Raw genomic sequence first — 25,180 nt, forward strand, 5'->3', positions numbered from 1 at the left:
AACAAATTTGGAAATCATTCTAACAGTTAAGGCTAGCACAATGAAATTGTAATTACAGGACAATATTTTGAGGTAAAGAATAAATGGGAAATTTCAACCATTCATAATCAAAATCAACAAATAGAATCTCCTTTGCTGGGAATATATGACATATAACTATTCCATACATTAATGTATTTTAGTATTCAGATTTATCATCTATTTTTAATCCATGGTAATTGAATTTTTTTAATATTGACAATTTTTAATTATAAACAATTATCTTCAGAGAAAAATTCTCAAAATATTTATATTGAAATATTATAGGATTTTTTTTTTTTTTTTGGCTTTCATCTCTATGAAAAAAGCTGTCTTTGAAACTGGCATCTTCTATAATCAGAAAAGTTTTGACATTGTGACTCAGTATTTTTGATGTTTGGAGATTTTAGCAATGACCCTTAGGCTTTAGGAAACTACACTGAAAATCCAGTGTCTAGGCTGCTTGTGAAGATATGCAGAATCAAATATGGATAAATAATGAAATTAAAGTAGATCTGAATTATTGAAGGATCCTCTAATCTATCAAAGGCTGCAAATGACAAAAATTCACTAGTTTAATGAAATAACATCTAAACAGAGAGCATAATCCAAACATGTTTAACAAAAGAAAAGTAATGGAACAGTCAAAGTGAGAGTGAGCTTCATTCTCTCAGATCAGAGAATTTCAGATGCATATGATATGTAACTTTTTGACACTGAAGTTTCACTCATACATCATAGTGACACATTGTCCAATACAAATTCAGATATGTGTAAGTGTAAAATACACACTAGATCTCAAAACTTAGTTGAAAATGTATGTCATATAGCTTCAATAATTTTTATGCTGATTATATGGTAACATGATATTTTGAATACTAAAATTAATTTCACCTGTTTCCTTTCACCTTTATAAATATGCCACTCAACAATGTTAAATTATATATGTGGTTAACATCATTATCACAGTTAACTGAGACTCTATGGTCTTGAAGAATTATCTTTATTTTTTATGAAAGTTTGTGATCTCCAAGTTAATAAGAAGCTTTACCATGACTCTCTAGCAATGGCTACAACTGAAGAGTCTTCAAAGTTTGATTTACTAAGAAAATCACATTCTTCTCTAAATATTTCACACCTCCCTTCCTTTTGCAAGGGTCTGGTTAAGTCCTTTTGAGGATCATCATTTCAACATTTTAAGATTTGGATAAACTCATTTGATATGTTTGAGGTTATTTGGATGATTGCTTGTTTTAGGCAGTAAGTTAATTTATAAATAGTCTTGAGAGTTTTCTAGACCTTAAACATTGAAAACTTCAGTGTAATGTGAACCTCTCTTTAAATAAATAATTATTTTCATGAAAAAGAAGAAAATACATTAAAACTCACAAGCCTCACCTTGAAATGTTTGCACGTTAGATTTTATAAACCACACCATTTGATTACTGTTCTAGTTTTTCCGATAATGCTCTACAATCACTATCTGTATTTTACTCAAGCACTCTATATGTACTACTGCATTATATTGAATACATTTCATGTGTTATGTATTTAAAATGTATGAAACATGTTTTAAATGGTTTAAAAACTTATTTGTGTAGGAGATGTGTATTATCAATCGGACTAGGAAGTTAGAAGAAAATGTAAAAAAAAATTGCATGCAGTTTTGATAAAACGATCCTCTTCAGCACTACAAGTCTTTGGTTTTGAATCAGATTTACAAAAATTAAATGTAATTTTATAAATATACTAACATGTTTTCATATTTTGTTTTTGTGTCTACAAACCATTTTGAAATGCAAGAAAATATAAAGCCATTAAAATATTTTCTTGAGTTGAAGTTCTTTTCCAAAGGGTCATTTACACCTTTACATATTTTTTTGTTTTAGTGATTATTAAAGTACACTTCTTGAGTGTGTGATGCTCTTCAAAAGTTAATTTTACTAACTTTAGCGAACTAGACATGAATATTTAATATATAAATTACAAATAAAATTGTTTTAAATCTCTCACCTATCTCTTAGAATTGCCACATAATTTGAGAATTATATAACACAATTTCCAGATTGTTGTAGAAGATCAAAGCCAGAAAAGTATTATTTACATGTATTTTAAGTCAATTGACCAAAGATTTCTTTGTTTGCCAATACAATGCCCATGTGGTTGGTATGTATAACTATAGATTATTCATTATTCTGTGTAAAATATAACTATAACATTTTTTACAAGGTATCTATACAAGGAAGAACACTAAAATAAAAATAAAAAAATGATTTCCCTTTTGTGATCAACATGGAATTTATCTCATCGTATTTATTTCAGATAGACATCAAAAGAGTCTGTAGGGAAGGGCCTGATGCAAATACCTTTCTCTCATTTTTCTGACATGTGTAATGACTCATTTATTATCTAATTTTCACTGTTTAATTGATACAATATGCTAATTAGGGCTTAGGTTTACAGCTTTTGCATATACTTTATGATATCATAAAGAAAAGAAACACTGTGCAATTTTCTCAATTGAAAGTATTGCACTTGATCATATGAACCTTGTATTTCTTGAGACATGCACAAATACAGTATAAATAACCAAACCTCACAGATTAAGCAAATGTTCTCTGACATAAAATGAAGCACTTGCTTTGAAAACTATTGGATGATTTTGACATTAAAATATGCGTTTTGAACACATATTTTCACAGTAGTGAAGGGTATGTAGTGGTAGGCATTAAGGATACACCATAATACCTTTGTAGTTCAAAACATTAAATTCTCCTTTGAATGGCTCCCATTATTCTTCCTATTGAAGGACATTTTCTTCCCTCAAAAAATAAAGTAACAACTTGAGAAGTAGATTAATTTCCCTTCAGGAACAAGCAATCTTAGATTGATCTTATGTATTTTATTTGTGTATACTTTGCTGTATATATCTGCAGGATAATAATAATGGGCAAAGCTAGAAATGCACATTGTTATGCTCATTTTAACTTTTAAATTTAAAATTTATTCCATATGCAACTGAAATTGACAGTGACATTCCATAGTTGTGAAAGAAAGCAAAGTAAAACTTTGTTATTGTTTTTTAATTACTCAGAGAATATTTGAAATCTAATCTGTATTTTTCAGTTAAATCCAAATGGTCTTACAAGGTTTAAATCACAAGACATAGCTTCAAGTTTTCTTCTGCATTTAGAAGGCAGAAGAAAAGGATAATTAAGCTTCAGCTAGCTCCACACTTAAATATACCTTTTCCCTTCTAGTGGTCTTTTATTTCTTATTCTCAATTGTGTATGTTTTCTGTTTATTTTTTCTACCAAGATCAGAATTGTAATTGTGTCCTTCTATTTTCTTTGCACTTATTTTATTATTTCTTTTCCAATTTAGGTCTCATACTTAGTTCATTTTCATTATTTTTGTTGTAGATAATCAAAGAAACTCTGTAAAATAGTATGCAGATACAATTTTATTGTTTCAGCATTTACTTTCTGACATTGAATAGTCTCCTTTTTGTAGTAATACCTTTATGCTTTGATATTTTTGAGTTATTTTTCTGCTTTACATAGAGATCATTTAAAATATTCTCGGAGTTTCCAGGTTTTATTTGTTTTTATTATTTTTATTTTGCTTATTTTCTATTTTTATTGAAAAACTATGGCTTAGTTATAAAGTTAAATATTGTAAAATATATCAGTTATAGTGCTTGCCCTCTTTCTCCATATATGGAGGATTCGTTATTTAATCCTCACTTTAGGTGAAACCTGCAAGGGAAACTCTTAAAGTTACTACATTTTTTATTGGAAATAAAGCAAAGGTTATTGGCAATAATATCTTACAGCTCAACCAGAAAACTATATGCGTTAAGACTATTAAAGGGAGGAGCTATTTTGGGTATTGCCTTGTGCAATTTAAAAAAAATAATAACCTTTCCTTTTTTAGTAACCACAAAAAACCTTGCTTACTGCCTATGTTCCACTGAAGAAACTGATTTCTTTTCAGAAATGGTAGAATAAGAAGTGAAAGGGACAAAATGGAAAGATAGAGACTTGAATAGTACTTGTTCCTGAAAATAGCCAAATAGAAAAACAAAAAATAAAATAAAATAAAAATCAAACAAAACGACAAATCTGAGGCAGTGACAAGGGAGAAACAAGAAAGAAGACTGGGGCTGAAACGTGGGGTTTCTGCCCCTAAATTTGGCCAGGCACGGTGGCTTACTCCTGTAATCCCAGCACTTTGGGAGGCCAGGTTCCGGTGGATCACCTGAGGTCAGCAGTTCGAGACCAGCCTGGCCAAAATGGTGAAACCCTGTCTCGATTAAAAATATATATATATATACAAAAAGAAAGAAAGAAGATTGAAGTATTGCACTGTGGGACATTTACCACAACGGATTTAGTACCTCCAGTGTCCAGGCTGCCTGTAACTTGGGCCTCTCCCTTACCCCTCTCCCTCTTCTCCCTTCTATTCTTTTCCAGGTCATTTATTTGCAAAGCCATGTGCTGTGACCATTACCTTCTGCATTTTCATTACAATCAGTTAAACTATCTGTAACTGTTTACCAGGGTTTTAAACGTTCTGACTTCTCATAACTGGATTATTCTTGCCATTAGTTTAAATAAAGGCAGTGCTGCCAATTATTGTGCATTGATATTTTTCAAATCTCATATATATATGTATATATGACAATTTGTCATGTAAAATCTGATAAATGGATATTTTATGATTTTCATGAAAGTTAGAAAGGCTATAGTCTTAGAATGTGGTTAAGAAAAAGTAAAAAATCTAGATAGAAAAATAATTTGCTTACATTAGAACTTGCTTGAGCTCTAAGGGAAGAAAGTTAATTGCTTTCCCTGAAGGTTTTTCATTTCTTTTCTTTTCTTTTCTTTTTTTTTAATAATACATCTTTATTTTTCTGGAAGCTTTTATGTAGAGCCAAGACTTGAGGCAGAGAAATAGATTAAGATATTCTTGATCAATAATTTTATGAGATTTAATTCTTTTGCTCAAAGTGTCAGTTTTTCAGAGTTAAGTCTGTTTCCAGGCTCATATAATATAACCAAATTTGTACTGTTACTCTGAGAATTAAATATGATTGACCTTGCTACACACCTAGCATAGTACCTGTCACATGGTATACACTCAGTAAATGTTATCTATCATTACCATTCCTTTAAAAAATAGATTTAAATACAACTCAGAACATAATTTTAATTTGCAATTAAACAATGACAGGCACTGGAATTTTTTGTTCCCAACTGCCAACATAATTATGGTATCATAAAATTTAAAATGTTCAGCAAAATTTTTGGTCAAATAAGGAGATGATAAAGCTAATAACTAAACTCTTGTTTCTTTGGTGATCTATTCTTCTCTATGTTCCCTCACGGGGATTTCTAATTTTAGCTTTTATGCTAATGACTACAGAAGACCAATTTCTAATCTAGCCCTGTAAGAAACTGAGTTACAGTAGAAAAGGTAATTAAAAAAAAAAAAAGCACAGAGAATGTTTTGCTGTAAAAAGCCATAAAAGTTCAAATCTTGGAAAAATCATCTTTCTATATGCATACTATATACTTATATTGCAGATAAGTAAGGCACAGAGTAGCTAAATATGTCAGGCCTCTGAGCCCAAGCTAAGCCATTGCATCCCCTGTGACCTGAACATATAGGCCCAGATGGCCTGAAGTAACTGAAGAATCACAAAAGAAGTGAAAATGGCCTGTTCCTGCCTTAACTGATGACATTCCACCACAAAAGAAGTGAAAATGGCCGGTTCCTTGCCTTAACTGATGACATTACCTTGTGAAGTTCCTTCTCCTGGCTCATCCTGCTCAAAAAGCTCCCCCACTGAGCACCTTGTGACTCCCACTCCTGCCCGCCAGAGAACAACTCCCCTTTGACTGTAATTTTCCTTTACCTAACCAAATCTTATAAAATGGTCCCACCTCTATCTCCCTTCGCTGACTCTTTTCGGACTCAGCCCGCCTGCCCCTAGGTGAAATAAATAGCCTTGTTGCTCAAAGTCTGTTTGGTGGTCTCTTCACACGGACGCGAGTGAAAAAATATCTCATCAAAGCATCAAAGGTCACAGAATTCAAATCTGTCCTTCCTGATCTAAAATTATAGCCAGTATAATTCACTTACATAAAATATTATTTAGTAGACGATGATGATTATTATTTTGAGACAGGATCTCCCTCTCTTGCCCAGGCTGAAGTGCAGTGGTGTGATCTTGGCTCACTGAAGCCTCAAACACCTGGGGTCAAGCAATCTTCCTACCTCAACCTCTCAAATACCTGGTACTACAGACGTAAGACAACATGCCTTGCTAGTTGTTTTTTTTGTTTGTTTGTTTGTTTGTTTTTGAGACAGGGTCTCCCTATATTGCCCCGTCTTGAACTACTGGGCTCAAGCGATCCTCTTGTGCTGGATTAGAGGAGTGAGCCACTGTGCCCAGCCAGAGCAGATTATTAACAAGCTCAAAGATAGTGATCTATTTCATAGTTGCTCTGTATCAGGGTAATAAAATACAACTTTAGCCAATTCATGCATACTCATACTCACAGATAATAAATGTATATACATATGTTGTACATAAGTGCAACATGTCTTTGTATATGTATATACATATACATATATGGTTTCTAAGTTATAGTAACATTAAACATGCACACACACACTCTTGAACTAAATGTTTGGAACTCAACAACATGCAACAATCTATGATATTATTCAATGGCATATGTTTTACAATACCATGTCCCAAAATATAGTTTTACTAAAAAGCTGGTTTGCTCTTGATGGTTTAAAATGTTGTTTCCCTTCAATTTAAAACATGAAAAATATCCAATTTCCTTTAATACTAGTAATTTTATTATAACTCACATCCAGGAATAACACAGCATTATCTCAATTCTATTCCAGTAATTCACCACTTCATGTTGGTTCATTAGTCATACCATAAATCAATAGCAGGTTGTCCAACTGCAATATAAGAATATTTCACTTAACTTTTATTTTGCTACTATCCACTAGAAATAGCAGTTCAGGGCTTCAGAGAAGAAACACAAAAATACTGAAGCTTTACTGGCATAACTTAAGCTCTATTAAATTAGGTCAGATGCAAATATATATGCATGTATTTTAAATTAAATTATATATTAATACAGTAGAATTTTTCCATATATAAATGTTTCCATATATATATAAATTTATCACTGGACACTTTTCCTCTTAAGCACATCATTTATGGAAGATTTCTATGTGGTAAATGGACTGTCCACTTGTTACTGGCAGATCTTGTCTACCTAATGAGTTGCCTCCAGCAAAATGATTTTATCTATTTTTCTGATTGAAATACTTCATATGATGTAAATAATAATTTTAATACACATATTCTTTTCTATACAATGAAAGTTATATAAAGGAAAGTGCTTTTAAGTAACTCTTCAGTAAAATCACATGGCTACTAATTCTAATTTATCAAAATTGTGAAAGAAGAAAATGATACAAGGTAATGTTTCTCAATTACAATAAAATGTTTAAGTTCTGCAGGATAGCACACATTTGATAGGGTGCAATTTTACAAGGTACAGAAGTTTGAAATAATATATAGAATTACTAAATAAAATAAGAGAAGACACATCCAAAAAGATAGAAAAATGGTTGAGCCCAATAAAAGAGTGATAATGAAGGAGCTGGTTCATGTCAAAGAAAAACATCTCAAATAAACTCCATCATATTGTATTGAAATTCTTTTATTTTTGAAAAAAATCCGTATTTTTACTAAAACGAAAAATACTTTGACAGACAATGACTGTCATGAAATGGCACTGGCAATTGGCATTTGACTTATCAGTAAATACCACTTTCTAAAGTATTATACACCAGTTGTAAATATGTAATATATATACTCACCTTAAGATGGGCATTGAAAAGTTGCTCTGCTCTGTACTTTATAAATACTACTTTATACATTGAACGCTAAATTGTATAATGCTATGTTTCTTTGAAAATAACCTGTCTTTTGGCCTGGGCCTGTAATCTCAGCACTTTGAGAGGCCTAGGCGGGAGAACTGCTGGAGGCCGGGAGTTTGAGACCAGCCTAGGCAAAATAGTGAAGACACCCATGTCTACAAAAAAAATTTTAAAAAATAGCTACGCATGGTGGTATGTGCCTGCAGTCCTACTTGCTTGAAAGGCTGAAGAAGGAGGATCACTTAAGCCCAGGAGTTTGAGGTTACAGTGAGCTGTGATCACACTACTGCACTCCAGCCTGGGCAACTAAGCAAGACCCTGTCTCTAAAATAACAACAACAATAATAATAATGTGTTCTTTTTTTCACCTGGACATCACCTCAGCTTAGTTCTAAATACCCTCAGAAATCTTTAGATAATTCAATAAAATAGTATTGTTTCCTACACTATGTTATCCTAAGTGCTGTAATTATGTTATAATATAGTCCAGCTGGTGAAAAATATTTGTCTCAATTCTCCACTCTTTTTTTATTTAAAGACTTAAGTGTTTTCTATTTCACAAAACATTAGACGCAAAATTATTTACATCTTTGGCTTTGATTTTAAAATTCATTGCCTTGAAATATTGCGGCTGTTCCCACAGCAGTGGGAATCATTTCTAAATGCTTATCATGCATTTAGAATGGCACTCAAAGAGATTGTCCATTCAGGCAATCGATTCCATTTTGGTTTGTTTTCAGTTTGATTATATTTCTCTTAAAGCTTAGAAATCCTAAATCCTATGATACTCCTAAAATAAATAAGGATTTTTCATTAATGACACTTCCTTCAAAATATAAGCATTTTTGATCTTTAATAAAAATTATAAATATTTGCTCGGAAAGAAAAACTTATCTTTCTCCTTTCTCCTACTCATTGATAATCTTCTTATTGAAGCATAGCATGTATAGGGATTTATCTACTGTTTCCTCAAGACTTCTAGAGGTAAGAACATAAGTGATAGAATTTTGAACACGGCTGAGAGCTTGTAGAAAAGTCTAAATCAGAGGAGTGTATTTGACCTATTTAAGGAAGGAAAATTGACTTAAAGTTCTCATTATACAGAACAGAAAAGTAGTAGATAAATGATAATTTGAGAAACATTACAATCATTTCTCTGAGGGGTACATACAGTTAATGGTGGATTATTTGGTTTGTCTCTGGGTCAAGAGAGAAGTACTGGGATTCAATTGGCATCACTCTGTGTGGGGCTGAAGAACGGATATCTAAAATCCTGTACTCATGTGATTATAGACTGAATTGACTATGCATCCAAGTTTTTTCCAGGACAGTCTTGATAATTTATACTATTTTTTTCAGTTTATTTAATATTTAGTGCTCCATTTAACTCATTAAAATGTCTTTATTTGAAAAATAGATTATTTTGGCACTCTATTAAACTAAATAAAAGAGTCAAACTGGCCATTGGACAAGTGGCTTGGGTAAGGAATAAAATATAAGTTACGTAGTCCAAGCAATGTGGTGTGAGGAATCAAATAATTTCGTACAGAAGCAAAAGTTAACAGGAGATGATTCAGAATCTTTCTACTACTAGAGTACAGGTATTTCCTACAATGCCTTGCACAATGGCATCTTAGGTTATTTGAGTTTTTATTAAAATATCTGTGCATGAATGAATAGGAAAATTGAAGGGAGAAGTTCTAGAGAATATGATTATACCTAGGCTTGTCAAAGACAAAGAAAGGAATGTAGTCACTGCAAAAGAAAATAAATCTTTTTTGAGAGACAAAAATAAGTATCAATTGACATCCAGGGGAATACTAAGCATAAACCAGAAAGTACTGTCCTTTCCTTACACTGAGTGATGTTATGTCTCAAAATCAAATGCTTCAAATAATAGTTGTGATCTCAGTAGTTCAATAAATGCTATCAGCATTGATAAATGATGATAAACAGATGAAAAACCTGTGACGAATTAAGTGTAAATTTGTCTCCTGATCATGGAATAATTAGATGTCTACAGGAAATAATATATGAATACATTTGAATATATAAATGTAGACATATACAGCATATCTGAGTATTAATTGTAAAATGCTTTTAACAAAATGTTTATTATTTAATTCTATCAAAGTTATTTTTAAAAGTACAATTCTTTATGTTTATTTTTAGACTTGTTTACGCAGCAAAACCCGACAATAACATTCATGGCATAGAAAATTTTAGGAAATTGTTTTGATGCATAAAAGGATATGGAAACTGTAAGAATACAATGAATGAAGTAATAGGATTTACTTAGCCACAAAATATAATGATTCATAAACAAAGATATATATAATCGAATTGATAAAATATTCAATTAGTATATGCTTGATGTAAAAATATATGGGTATACACTTACTTTAAAATGTGTTACATTACTCAAGCACTTGGAAGAAATAACCAACATTTTAAGGTATACATTCTTAAGTATTTTCTATTTCTTGGACCTAAAACAGACACTAGATTGTTGGCTTTAATGTATGTACAGTTTATCTTGACAAATACACAAATGTATTACACTCCAGGAAATAATACATGAATTGTTCCCTTTTAAAAGCAGCTTGCTTTTACTGTTAGAGATATAGAAATAAGCATATTTTTATTTGTGTTTCATTAAGTTATGTGGTACCCAATATGCAGGGTACTAATGCAGTGCAGTCTGAAAGGTGAACAGATGGGGTTTATTTTTAGCTTGCATTAGCACACCCCACCAAATACTCATTTGCCTGATACACCATTATAAACTAGCTTAAAAGTTTAAAGTATAGCTTTGTCAGTGATATTCAACTAATAAAAGACAAATACGGAATAAATAATTATAACATTGATAGCCAATGAGTAGCTAAAGCTATTTATTGTAAACAAATGGTTAAAAAGGTTATTCATATTGGGAGAACATATAGAGCTCTCAGTAATATAAAAGTTGGAAAAGCCTTTTCATTCAGCAGTTTTTTCAGGAAAAATTTGCAATGAAGATGGCGGAAATAATTAAGGATACATAAATACCTGATGAAGTAAATTAAAGAAACAATATGTTATATTTTAAGATTATAAAATTCTGTTGCACCTTTTTTGAGGTATAATTTCTTTTTTTTTTTGACACGGAGTCTCGCTCTGTCACCCAGGCTGGAGTCCAGTGGCGCGATCTCGGCTTACTGTAAGCTCCGCCCCCCGAGTTCACGCCGTTCTTCTGCCTCAGCCTCGCTAGTAGCTGGGACTACAGGCGCCCGCCATCATGCCCGGCTAATTTTTTTTGTATTTTTAGTAGAGACAGGGTTTCACCGTGTTAGCCAGGATGGTCTCGATCTCCTGACCTTCTGATCCGCCTGCCTCAGCCTCCCAAAGTGCTGGGTTTACAGGCGTGAGCCACGGCGCCCGGCCTTGAGGTATAATTTCTGTTTCAGCATAAACTCCCAGTTTAAAGATATTCAAAATATTTAATACAGATGACCACTATGGAATAAAATTTTATTTTTATCTGTAAAAATTTATGCATCATTGTTTATATTTAATATTTGTCCTAAAAGTTTAAATAATAGTTTTTCATATATACTGTTTCTTTATTTACATTTTTCAAAGAAATTAATTGTATTTCTCACGAAGTAATTTAATTATTGATTCCACTTCTTATTTGTGTATCTGGAGTAGGGGGGTTACAATTAATTTTTAAATATCATTTTGATGGTTCTGACAACCTACTGTTTAAACCACTTACTCCAGTCTGTGTATGCTTAATGGGGTTAATATCACTCCAACTGAGTGAAAATGGGTTCTTCAGTGGAGGAGGGGGGTAAAAATGTTTTATACTATTACTACGTATAAAATACAGATATACGGATAATATAAAAATGGGGCTAATATCACCTCCAACTGAGTGAAAATGGGTTCTTCAGTGGAGGAGGGGAGTAAAAATGTTCATACTATTGCTATGTATAAAATACTGATATATGGAGGATATAAAAACAGATGTTTGTGGTCTTGAAATTTCATGGGGGGGATAATGAAAACAATGTATAAAAAGACTCTTTATGGAGGCAGTAATTTAAAAATGCTGAGACATGCAATTCTGATTCATTTTTTTTGTTTTCCTCTCTTCACCATCTGAAGTTAAGGTGTATTTTACATGGAGCACAATGTATTGATCTTAAGTACAGACTTAAACAAGCTTCACAAATACATCCACTGCAATCATGAAAAAAATTGCATCATGAGTAACAATTCCTGTCAGCATCTTTTCAAGCAATGCCCCATAGAAACAAATATTTATTTGTAATTTCGTGTCTGTTTTCTCCATTTCTATCACAGTAAATTAATTTTGCCTGTTTTGAGCTTTATATAAATGGAATAACACGATATCTACTGGTTGGTAACTTTTTTTTTCTTAACATAGTTTCTGTGAAGATTACACAATGTAAATATGACATGATTTAGTTATTCGTTCTTCTGTTGATGGACATTCAAGTTGTTTCCAGTTTTTGAATTATTAATAAAACCAGGATGACATTATAGTATAAGAGAAAAATAAAGAAATGAGAGGACAAAAAGTCTAATTTCAGAGGAAAAGAAAAAAATACTATCTAAAAATAAGACAATCTCATAAGCCTTATCCAAGTGACCCAAAGGTTCATATGTATATAAAAAACAAATTAAATTCATCTTGAATCAGGAGAATCTTAAATAGAAAACATATTAAACTATCAGAATATGTTTTAAAAAGTAATTTCATAGATAATTCATCAAAAGAATCTAACTTAGCATATTATATTATTTATCTTCCCCCCGTAGGCATATGCTTCCAATATTTAAAAAAAGTCTAAACTTATAACAATCAAGCAAATGGTACACAATTGTTTTTTGTTGTTGTTGTTGTTTTTCCATATTGAGCTTGGTTGATTAGGAAATGAGTGATACAATGATACAACTTACCAAGAATCAAACGTTTTCATTCAGATGTCTCATCTCTGTCTTAAACTTGCAAATCTCACAAATAAAGCATCAATTTAAATGTTATTTTCCTGACTAGTTTTCAGTTATTGCACAATTAAGTGTTGATACAAATGCAATAATTAGGAATGTTCTGTGGCAATACAAAGATGTTGATTGCATTTGTAATTTAAGTCAATTTAGCAAAGTTAAATAAAGATTCGTTCATTATACAAAACAATAAATTAATCCAATTGACAAAACAAGTTGTAGAGACAGTAGTATTGTTTCCTAAAGATTATCTCTACATTTCTCAGTAAATTATCTTTCAATTACTACTATTTTGGAATATTTCATAGTTAAGGAGAATGAAAAAAATCTTTAAATGCCAGAGTTATTGCTGTGGTACTATATTTACTTCTTATGATCATCAATTTTAATCTTTTCTAAATCATAACTCTTAGTTTTAGAGTCAATAATTCTTTTTGTTTGTTTGTTTTTTGAGACGGAGTCTTGCTCTGTTGCCCAGACTGGAGTGCAGTGACACAATCTTGGCTCACTGCAAGCTCCGCCTCCTGAGTTCAGGCCATTCTCCTGCCTCAGCCTCCCGAGTAGCTGGGACTACAGGCACCCGCCACCATGCCCAGCTAATTTTTTGTATTTTTAGTAGAGACGGGGTTTTTTCGTGTTAGCCAGGATGGTCTTGATCTCCTGACCTCGTGATCCTCCCACCTCGGCCTCCCGAAGTGCTGGGATTACAGGTGTGAGCCGCCGCGACCGGCCTAGAGTCAATATTTCTTATGTTTTCACTAAAAAAAAAAATTGACCGTTACCACAGTGATGGACAACTCTTGAAAATAAAAATAAGAAAGCAGTCTTAGTTATTGACCACTAGTCTCTCTCTAAAGAGAACTTTGCTATACAGAAGTGCAATCTGTGTGGTGTAGCGATACCCAATGCTCTGTATAAACACTAATAACTTGATAGTCTCTGACAGGTGACTATCATTGTCAGCTAAAATTCTGTGATAGTGTATGTGCTATGGTCTGAATGTTTATGTTCCCCTGAAATTCATATGTTTAAATCCTAACTCCCAAAGTGATCATACTAAGAGCTGGAGCCTTTGGTAGGTGATTAGGTTATCAGGATGGTCCTCAAAATTGGGATTTGTGCCTTTATAAAAGAGAACATGTAAGGATACAGCAAACAGACATTGTCTGTGAGGAACTGGCCCTCACCAGATACTAAATATTCCTGTTGCCTTTATCTTGGATTTCCCAGCCTCCAGAACTGTGAGAAATAAATGTTTATTGTTCATAAGCCACCCAGTTTGTGGTAGTTTGTACTAGAAGCCAAAATGGAGTAAGACAATATGGAATACTATTCTTTATTGAGAAAAGGTTACATTTTTGTCAAAATATTGTTTTACATTGCATCATATGCAATCTTTAAAAAGTGAAGCGTAAAACAAAGTATAATATCTAAAGCTATAAGACTTCTAGCGAAAACAGGAGAAAAACTTTTGTGATCTTGGTTAGCAACGATTTCTTAGATACAGCACTAAAGGCATGATCTGTTAAGTAACTATAAATTGTACTTTCTCAAAATTGAGAACTTCTGCTCTTTAAAAGATGTTATAATAAAAATATAATGCTACAGGTTGGAATGAATGTTTAAAAATCATATATCTGATATATAATTTATAGAATAAATAAGAAATTCTCAAAACAAACGGCAAACAGATTAAAAATGGGCAAATGTTTTACACGATCATTGATCAAATAATATATATGTATAGCATATGTAATCACATGCATGAAAAGATGCCCAACATCATTAGTCATTTAGAAAATTCAAATTTAACTCCTAACAAGATATGACTAAAAACCTACCAGGGTACTAAAATGTCTAAGTGAAACAAATGTTTAAAAAGTGACAATACAAAGTATTGACAAGGTTGTGAAGTAAGTTGAACCCTCATACATTTTGGTGGGAATGAAAAATGGCAGCCATTATAATTAGAAAATGAAAGCAGTAATGTTTCAACAACCTTGTATATCGGTTATATAATTCATAAAACTATTAGTTCATAGAACTTCAGATGGCAAATGCATGCCAAATTCTCATTATTTTGAGCATAAAAATAACATTCCTGTATTTTTTTTTCTTCAGTTGCTATCAATGGACATTGAACCAATTTACAAGCACCTAATTATTAGCTAGCCTAGGTTAGCTACCAACTTTGACAGTTATTCAGTTATAGATATCCAGATGTTTCAAGCTTTTCAACACCATGACACCTGCTGAACTAATAGAGATGTAGAAACAACTGTTCAGGAAGTAGAAAATAAAAGTTCTACGTTTGGGCACTGAAAGCCTCAGCCACAGACCAGGAAAAGTTCTTTTAAAGAATTCTGCTGGCCGGGCATGGTGGCTAAAGCCTGTAATCCCAGCACTTTGGGAAGCCGAGGCAGGCAGATCACGAGGTCAGGAGATCAAGACCATCCTGGCCAACGTGGTGAAACTCCATCTCTACTAAAAATACAAAAATTAGCTGGGCGTGGTGGCACTTGCCCGTAATCCCAGCTACTCGGGAGGCTGAGGCAGGAGAATCGCTTGAACCTGGGAGGCGGGGGTTGCAGTGAGCCAAGATCACACCACTGCACTCCAGCCTGGCGACAGAGCAAGGCTCCATCTCAAAAACAAAAAAAAGAAAAATTATTCTATTAAATAACACATGCAAGTGTGTGTGTGTGTGTGTGTGTGCGTGCACATACTCACATACATCTGGGATGTGAACCTCACGTACTTATTTATTTATTTATTTATTTTGAGACAGTCTCACTCTAGTCACCCAGGCTGGAGTGCAATGGCAAGATCTCAGCTCACTGCAACCTCCGTCTTCTGGGTTCAAGCGATTCTCCTGCCTCAGCCTCCTGAGTAGCTCTGGGAATAGAGGCGTCCACCACCAGACCCAGCTAATTTTTTTGTATTTTTAGTAGAGACAGGGTTTCACCATGTTGGCCAGGCTGGTCTCCTCAGTCTCCTCAGGTGATCCATCTGCCTCGGCCTCCCAAAGTGCTGTGATTGCAAGCATGGGCCACTGCGCCGGGCCTAACGGACTTTTGATTCTTTGTGGCTTAGGTACTTACTGCTTTCAAACTTGGACTTTTTTGATTTGGGGAAATTTTCATTTATTTATTATTTTACAGTGTGGTCTTCCTCCTTCCCTCTGTTCTCATTCTATAATTGCTGCCAGATTGTGGAGCTCATTCATCTAGCCTTCAAATTTCTAAATAGTTTTAAAATGATCCCCATGTCTTTATATGCGCTGATTTCTGGGATCCTCTGCTAAATCTCTGTGTTCACTAATTTAATTTTAGATGTGTCTTTTCTATTACATTTAGCCATATCTTGTTTATTTTTTGTACATTTTGGCAATTATATTTTTAATTTTCAATACTTCTTGTTTTCTTTTTCATAGCAGCATTTTTAGGGAAATGTAACCACTGTAGGTATGATTTCTTTATTGTTTTAAGTGTTTTTCAATGTCTTTTAATCAGCATTTAACTATCTTCAGGGCAATTTGCCAATCTTAGCAACTGAATTTTCTTAAATACTGCTGGTCTTTGATTTTTCTGTTAGCATTTCTTTTTGAAGAAATAAATTAAAAATTTTCTGTAATTACAGAGCATTTACTTCGGCAAAGAAAGAAAGTTTTGTCTCTTGCAGTGAATGTCAGATTCTGTTTAGAAGAGCTCTGCCTCTAAAAACTGCATGAGAGTGGGGATGTGGGGGTGTGGGGAATGGTAGTGATGGTTGTTGGCAGGAATGAGTATTGGGTGACCTACATGCTGTCTGGATGCATTATTATGTTTCAGTCAGCCAGTTTGTTTTCTGGGTATGGTGACAGGGCCCACATTCTTCAGGTGAGCTGAGTTGACAGAGACTGCCCTTTAGTTTGACCCAATGCACATTTTTAGTTTTTTCTTATATTTTTGTGATATACCTACAATATTTGCTTCTAGATTTGGGGAGGTCCAAATATCAGAGTCATTTACTGTAAGTGTGGAAAAATTCCCAGCTGATTTTTCTTCTATTAATTACTTTCCCAAAGAAAATAATCTTCCTTTATCTTCCACTGGCTTTGATTTTGAGGTTATTCCTTGACTCCACTAAGAAAACTCACTGTGAGGTTTTTGTCACCTACCTCAAAAAATTGGTGTTAAGAATTAAATGGAGCAATGCATATAGAGAACTTAGCGCATAAGTACTTATTAAATATTTGTGTTACTGTAGATTTGGTTGTTTATAGCTATTATATCATTTAATAAATATAGGTACCAGAAAAATAGTAATTTCAGATATTAAAGTGAATAATTATTCCTTTAAGTAAACTGCTGAATAAGCACTTAGAACATCCCTGTGTATGCCACAGTTGTTTCCTGTTGCTGAAAACATAAATGATCTAATTTTGGCAAACAAGATTATGTTAAGCTGGGTTTAAACACATTCACATTTTGTAGAGAAAACTGACCACGAAGTTATATGGTCATATTACGTGGGCATAAACACCTGAAATTGGTTTTTCCAACATAAGTATAAAAAAGCAATCTTTGATATTCAGAGCTTTATTTATGAGTCATTCTTTTTCATATTAAAAATAACCTCCATTTTGAAAGTTTCAGCTTTTGATTTAATTCTAAACATAGGCAACGTTCTAAGTTTTAATTTTAACAAAAGATATAGATTCTAGGAAAATGTCTTTATTTCATGCACTCTAAAATGTTTGTTCTTGGTATATAATTCATATTAATTTCTACTGGAGGCAAAAGCAATAACCAGAGAAGGCGTTAGAGAAAATAATTCAGTGCAATCTCTGTTTTTAGTTTGAACTGCAGCTGTAATGGAAAAAACAAGAGATATAGAAGGAAATGTAATTCCGAAACATTAATGACTAAGATTCTGAATTTATTTTACATACTAAGTGCTTTTATTTAGGTGAGCTGATGTTTCCTGTCAATATAAATGTTCACATGAGGTAAGGGAGAATACAAATTGATTTATCCAAATATCGCCACTTTTACTAGTTTTATCTCTACTTCTGTAAAGTCAAATGATTATTCCAAAAAATGTATGTAAAAAGCTTAACCACAACTATCTACATATCCTTAATATCCCCTTAATATTTTTTCCATTGTAATTGAAGTATAATTTACATTCAGCTATAAAACAATGTATTTTTAGTTTACACATCAAGGGGTTTCAGTAAATTTGTAAAATTCTGCAACTTTAATCACAACCACTTTTCAGAATAATTAAATCACCCCCAAAGTGCCTTCCAATCCTTTTATATTTAATCTCTACCCCACCACCATGTCTAGGTACACATTGATCTATTTTTGCTGTAGTAGTTTTGCTTTTACTAGAAATTTCATATACATGGAATTATTTAATAAGTGATTGTCCCTAGCTTCTTTCAATTAACACAATATTTTTTAAAGTTATCCATATTGCTGCACTTATTAATAGTTTGCTATTTCTTTATTCTAAGTAGTATTTTATTGCATGAACATACCATATTTTATCTATTTGACATTGGATGAATAGTTGCATTATTCCAGTTTTGGGCTACTGGATACTGCAGGAGTAAGGTGATATCTCATTGTGGTTTTAATTTGCATTTTGCTGATGATTAGTGATGTTGAGCATTTCTTCAGAACAGATGTGTTTATCACACATCTGTATATCTTCTTTTGAGAAATAGCTATTGATATGGTTTGGCTGTGTCCCCACCCAAATCTCATCTTTAATTGTAGCTCCCATAATTCCCATGTGTCATGGGAGGGACCTGGTGGGAGGTAATTGAATCATGGTGGTGGATCTTTTCCCTACCGTTCTGGTAGTGAATGAGTCTCATGAGATCTCATGGTTTTATAAATAGGAGCTTCCCTGCACAAGCTCTCTCTTCTCTTCTGCCTGCTTCCCCCTTGCTTTCTACCATGACTGTGAGGCCTCCCCAGCCCTGTGGAACTGTGAGTCAATTAAATCTCTTTCCTTTAAAAATTACCCAGTCCCAAATATGTCTTTATTAGCAATGTGAGAACAGACTAATACATCTATTTATGTATTTTGCCTACTTTTGGATGGGGTTATTTTATTTATTTATTTTTTCCTGGTGATTTGTTTAAATTCCTTATAGATTCTGGATACTAGTCCTTTGTTCGATACATAGCTTGCAAATATTTTCCTCCATTCTGTAGGGTGTACTTTCATTTGGTTGATTATTTTTTTCATTGTACAGAAGCTTTTTAGTTTAATTAGGTCCCACTTATTTATTTTTGTTTTTGTTGCATTGACTTTAGTGTCTTAGTCATGAATTCTTTGCCCTGGCCCTTGTTTAGAAGACATTTCCAATGTTGTCATCTAGAATTTTTTTGGTGTCAGGCCTTATATTTAAGTCTTTGATCCATCTTGAATTAATTTTTGTATATGGTGAGAGATAGTGATCTAGTTTTTTTTCTTCTGCATGTGGCGTACCAGTTTTCCCAGCACTGTTTATTAAATATTGTGTCCATTATCCAATTTATGTTTTTGTATGCTTTGTTGAAGGTCAGTTGGCTGTATGTATTTGGCTTTATTTCTGGGTTTTCTATTCTGCTCCATTGGTCCATGTGCCTACTTTTCCATTGGTCTGTGTGCCTACTTTCATACCAGGACCATGCTGCTCTGGTAACTATTGCCTTGTAGTATAGTTTGAAATCTGGTAATGTGATGCCTCCAGATTTGTTCTTTTTCCTTAGGATTGCTTTGTCTATTTAGGCTCTTTAGTGTTTCCATATGAATTTTAGGATTGTTTTTTCCAATTCTGTGAAAAATGATATGGTATTTTTATGGGAATTGCATTGAATCTGTAGATTGCTTTTGGCAATATGGTCATTTTTACAATATTGATCAATGCTACTGATTTGTGTACAGTGATTTTGTAACCTGGGGCTTTACTGAATTTATTTATCAAATGTTAAGAGTCTTTTGGATAAGTCTTTAGGAGTTTCTAAGTATATATTCATATCATCTGCAAACAGTGATAGTTTGACTTCTTCTTTTCAAATTTGGATGCCCTTTATTTCTTTCTCTTGCCTAGCTGCTCTGGCTAGTACTACCAGAACTATGTAAAGTAGGAGTGGTGAAAGTGAGCATCCTTGTCTTGTTCCTGTTTTCAGGGGGAATGCTTTCAACTTTTCCCCATTCAGTATGACATTGACTGTAGATTTGTTACATATGGCTTTTATTATTTTGAGGTAGGTCCCTTCTATGCATAGTTTGTTAAGAATTTTTATCACAAAGGGTGCTGGATTTTGTCAAATGCTTTTTCTGCATCCATGGAGATGATCATTTGGTTTTGTTTTTAATTCTGTCTATGTGATATATTACATTTATTGAATGTCATGTATTAAATCATTCCTGCATCCCTGAGATGAAAACCAATTGATCATGATGAATTTTATATATATATATATATATATATATATATATATAGAGAGAGAGAGAGAGAGAGAGAGAGAGAGAGAGAGAGAGAGAGAGAAAGGAGAGAGAGAGGGGGGAGAGAGAGAGAGAGAGAGAGAGAGACCCTCTCTGTTTCCCAGGCTGGAGTGCAGTGGTGTGATCTCGGCTCACTGCAACCTCCACCTCCCCAGTTCAAGCTATTCTCTTGCCTCACTATCCTGAGTAGCTGGGATTACAGGCACACACCACCATGCCTGGCTAATTTTTTTTTTTTTTGTATTTTTAGTAAATATGAGGTTTCATCATTTTGGCTAGGCTGGCCTCAAACTCCTGACCTAAGGTGATCTGCCTGCCTCAGCCTCCCAAAGTGCTGAGATTACAGGCGTGAGCCACTGCACCTGGCCACAATTATAGTTCTAATGTGCTGTTGGATTCAGTTAGCTAGTATTTTTTTGAGAATTTTTGAATCTGTGTTCATCAAGGAGATTGGTCTGTAGTTTTCTTTTTTGTGTTTTTTTTTTCTGGTTTTGTTATCAAGATAATATGAGCTTCATAAATGATTTAGGGAGGACTCCTTCTTTCTTCATCTTTTGGAATAATTCCAATAGGATTGGTAACAATTCTGCTTTGAATGCCTGGTAGAATTCAGCTGTGAATTAATCTGGTCCTGGAATTTTATTTGTTGGCAATGTTAAACTATTGAGTCTATCTCATTGCTTGTTATTAGTCTGTTCAAGGATTCTATTTCTTCCTGATTTAATCTAGGAAGGTTGTATGTTTCCAGCAATTTTTGCATTTCCTCTAGGTTTTCTAGTATGTGCACATAAAGGTGTTCATAGTGGTCTCAAATGATCTTTCGTATTTCTGTGGTGTCAATTATTATGTCCCTAGTTTCTTTTTCTTTTCTTTTCTTTTCTCTTTTTCTTTTTTCTTTTTTCTTTTTTTTTTTTGAGATGGAGTCTCATTCTGTCACCCAGGCTGGAGTACAGTGGCACTGTCTCGGCTCATTGCAACCTCCACCTCCTGGGTTCAAGCAATTCTCTTGCCTCAGCATCCTGAGTAGCTGAGAGTACAGGTGCCTGCTACCACGCCCAGCTAATTTTTGTATTTTTAGTAGAGATGGAATTTTACCATGTTGGCCAAGCTGGTCTCGAACTCCTGACCTGGGTGATCTGCCCGCCTAGGCTTCCCAAAGTGCTGGGATTACAGGCGTGAGCCACCACACCCGGTCCCCAGTTTCATTTCTTCTTGAGCTTATTGGATCTTCTCTTCTATGCTTGATTAATCTAGCTAATGATCTGCTGATTTATTTTTTCAAAAAAACAGCTTTGTGTTTCATTGATCTTTTGTAGTTTTTTTTGTTTGAATTTCATTTAGTTCTCCTCTGATCTTTTTTATTTTTTTTTTCTAGCTTTAGGTTAAGTTTGTTCTTATTTTTCTAGTTCCTTGAGGTGTAATATTAGCTTGTCAATTTGTGCTTTTTCATACTTTTGATTAAAGCATTTAGTGCTATGAACTTTCCTCTAAGCACTGTTTTTGCTGTATCCCAGAGATTTTGATAACTTGTCACATTATTATTATTCAATTAAAATATTTGTTAAATTTCCATCTTGATTTTTTTCTTCAACTTTTATTTTAAGTTCCAGAGTACATGTGCAGGATGTGCAGGTTTGTTACATAGGTAAATGTGTGCCACGATGGTTTGCTGCATAGATCAACCCATCACCTAGGTATGAAGCCCAACACCCATTATCTGTTCCTCCTGAAGCTCTCCCTCTCCCACTTCCCACCAACAGGCCCCAGTGTATGTTGTTCTCCACCATGTGTTCATGTTTCCTCACCATTCAGCTCCCACTTATACGTGAGAACATGTGGTGTTTGGTTTTCTGTTCCTGTATTAGTTTGCTGAGGATAACGGCTTGAGCTCTATCCATGTTGCTGCAAGGAATATAATTTCATTGCTTTTTATGGCTGCATAGTATTCCATGGTATATATGTACCACATTTTCTTTATCCAGTCTATTGTTGATGGGTATTTGGGCTGATTCCAGGTCTTTGCTATTATGACTAGTGCTGCAATGAACATACACGTGTATGTATCTTTATAATAGAATGATTTATATTACTTTGGGTATATACCCAGTAAAGGCATTGCTGGGTCAAATGGTATTTCTGCCTCTAGATCTTTGAGAAATCCCCACACTGTCTTCCACAATGGTTGAACTAATTTACATTACCACCAACAATCTAAAAGCATTGCTTTTTCTCTGAAACCTCACCAGTATCTGTTGTTTCTTGACTTACTAATAGTTGCCATTCTGTCTGGCGTGAGATGGTGTCTCATTGTGGTTTTGATTTGCATTTCTCTAATGATGAGTGATGTTGACCTTTCTTCATATGTTTATTGGCTGCATGAATGTCTTCTTTTGAGGAATGTCTGTTCATGGCTTTGCCCACATTTTAATGGGGTTGGGTTTTTTTTGTAAATTTAGTTAAGTTCCTTATAGACTGGATATTAGACTTTTGTCAGATAGATAGGTTGCAAATATTTTCTACCTTTCTGCGGTTGTCTGTTCACTCTGATGATAGTTTATTATGCTGTGCAGAAGCTCTTTAGTTTAATTAGATCCCATTTGTCAATTTTTGCTTTTCTTGCAATTGCTTTTGGTGTTTTCCTCATGAAATCTTTGCCCATGCCTATGTCCTGAATGGTATTGCTTAGATTTTGTTCCAGGGTTTTTATAGTTTTGGGTTTTACATTTAAGTCTTTAATCCATCTTGAGTTAATTTTTATATAAGGTGTAAGAAAGAGGTTCCGTTTAAATTTTCTGCATATGGCTAGCCAGTTCTCCCAGCACCATTTATTAAACGGGAATCATTTCCTCATTGCTTGTTGTTGTCAAATTTGTCAAAGATAAGATGGTTATAGGTGTGCAGTCTTATTTCTGAGTTCTCTATTCCATTTCATTGGTTTATGTTTGTGTTTTTGTACCAGTATCTGCTGTTTGGCTTTCTTTCTTTTTTTTTTTTTTTTTTCTTTTTTTTGAGTTGGAGTCTCACTCTGTCGCCCAGGCTGGAGTGCAGTGGTACGATCTCAGCTCACTGCAAGCTCTGCCTTCTGGGTTCATGCCATTCTCCTGCCTCAGCCTCCGGAGTAGCTGGGTCTACAGGCACCCACCACCATGCCCGGCTAATTTTTTTTGTATTTTTAGTAGAGACGGGGTTTCACCATGTTAGTCAGGATGGTCTTGATCTCCTGACCTCGTGATCCACCCACCTTGGCCTCCCAAATTGCTGGGATTACAGGTTTGAGCCACCATGCCTGGCCTGTTTTGCTCTCTGTAGCCTTGTAGTATAGTTAGAAGTCAGGTAGTGTGAGGCCTTCAGCTGTGTTCTTTTTGCTTTGAATTGCCTTGAGTATGTGGGCTCTGTTTTGGTTCCATATGAATTTTAAAGTAGTTTTCTCTAGTTCTATGAAGAATGTCAATGGTAGTTTAATGGGAATAGCATTGAATTTATAAATTACTTTGGGCTGTATGGCCATTTTCACGATATTGAGTCTTCCTATTGATGAGCATGGAGTATTTTTCCATTTGCTTTTGTCCTCTCTGATTTCCTTGAGCAGTGCTTTGTAATTCTCCATGGCGAGGTCCTTCACCTCCCTTGTTAGCTCTATTCCTAGACGTTTTATTCTCTTTGAATTATAACAATTGTGAATGGAAGTTCATTCATTATTTGGCTCTCTGCTTGCCTTTTGTTGGTGTATAAGAATGCTAGCAATTTTTGCACATTGATTTTGTATCCTAAGACTTTGCTGAAGTTGCTTATCAGCTTAAGAAGCTTTTGGGCTGAGTCAATGGTGTTTTCTAGATATAGGATCATGTCATCTGCAAACATGGATAATTTGACTTCTTCTTTTCCTATTTGAATACACTTTATTTCATTCTCTTGCCTGACTGCCCTGGCCAGAACTTCCAATACTAAGTAGAATAGTAGTGGTGAGATAGGGCATCCTTGTCTTGTGCTGGTTTTCAAGGGGAAAGCTTCCAGCTTTTGCCCATTCAGTATGATATTGGCTGTGGATTTATCATAGATAGCTCTCATTATTTTGAGGTATGTTCCTTCAATACCTAGTTTATTGAGATTTTTTAACATGAAGGCATGTTGAATTTTATCAAAGGCTTTTTCTGCATCTATTGAAATAATCATGTGGTTATTGTCCTTATTTCTGTTTATGTGATGAATTACATTTATTGATTTGTGTATGTTGAACCAATCACCATGCATCCCAGGGATAAAGCCAACTTGATCATGGTAGATAAGTTTTTTGATATGCTGCTGGATTCAGTTTACCAGTATTTTGTTGAGGATTTTTGCATTGATGTTTGTCAGGGATATTGGCCTGAAGCTTTTTGTTGTTGTTGTATCTCTGCCAGGTTTTGATATCAGGATGATGCTGGCCTCATAAAATGAGTTAGGGAGGATTCCCTCCTTTTCCATTGTTTGGAATAGCTTCAGAAGAAATGGTACCAGCTGCTCTTTGTACCCCTGGTAGAATTTGGCTGTGGATTCATCTGGTCCTGGCCTTTCTTTTGTTTGTGAGCTATTTATTATCGCCTCAATTTCAGAATTCATTATTTGTCTATTCAGGGATTCAGTTTCTTCCTGGTTCAGTCTTGGGAGGGTGTGTGCATCCAAGAGTTTATCCACT

At 34.0% G+C, this 25,180-nt stretch overlaps 2 long non-coding RNA genes across 4 annotated transcripts in view, besides 2 other annotated features; one reads left to right on the top strand and one right to left on the bottom strand.

Moving 5' to 3' along the window:
• LOC105373777 (uncharacterized) overlaps positions 1–11,132 on the bottom strand; it is a 63,555-nt gene extending 52,423 nt beyond the window's left edge. The window contains exon 1 of the long non-coding RNA XR_923654.2: positions 11,108–11,132. This is a non-coding gene — a long non-coding RNA (uncharacterized LOC105373777). The remainder of the gene's footprint in view (positions 1–11,107) is intronic.
• LOC102724340 (uncharacterized) overlaps positions 1–25,180 on the top strand; it is a 246,221-nt gene that overhangs the window by 2,881 nt on the left and 218,160 nt on the right. Inside the window, exon 1 of one of the 3 annotated variants that reach the window (XR_001739818.2) lies at positions 11,384–11,426. The exons of the other annotated variants lie outside the window; for them this stretch is intronic. This is a non-coding gene — a long non-coding RNA (uncharacterized LOC102724340). Of the gene's footprint in view, positions 1–11,383; positions 11,427–25,180 lie in introns of those variants that run through there. 3 annotated transcript variants of the gene reach the window in all.
• Positions 5,508–6,091: an enhancer, noted in NCBI's record as "OCT4-NANOG hESC enhancer chr2:185063385-185063968 (GRCh37/hg19 assembly coordinates)". NCBI's record gives its function as "activates a minimal SCP1, AML or CMV promoter by ChIP-STARR-seq in naive H9 embryonic stem cells {active_cell/tissue: H9 hESC(naive)}" and the evidence as "EXISTENCE:reporter gene assay evidence [ECO:0000049][PMID:30033119]".
• Positions 11,102–11,275: a silencer, noted in NCBI's record as "fragment chr2:185068979-185069152 (GRCh37/hg19 assembly coordinates)". NCBI's record gives its function as "represses an EF-1alpha promoter that drives an FKBP-Casp9 reporter gene in an ReSE screen in K562 erythroleukemia cells {active_cell/tissue: K562}" and the evidence as "EXISTENCE:reporter gene assay evidence [ECO:0000049][PMID:32094911]".

Source organism: Homo sapiens, chromosome 2 (assembly GCF_000001405.40).
Source record: "Homo sapiens chromosome 2, GRCh38.p14 Primary Assembly".
NCBI lineage: Eukaryota > Metazoa > Chordata > Mammalia > Primates > Hominidae > Homo > Homo sapiens.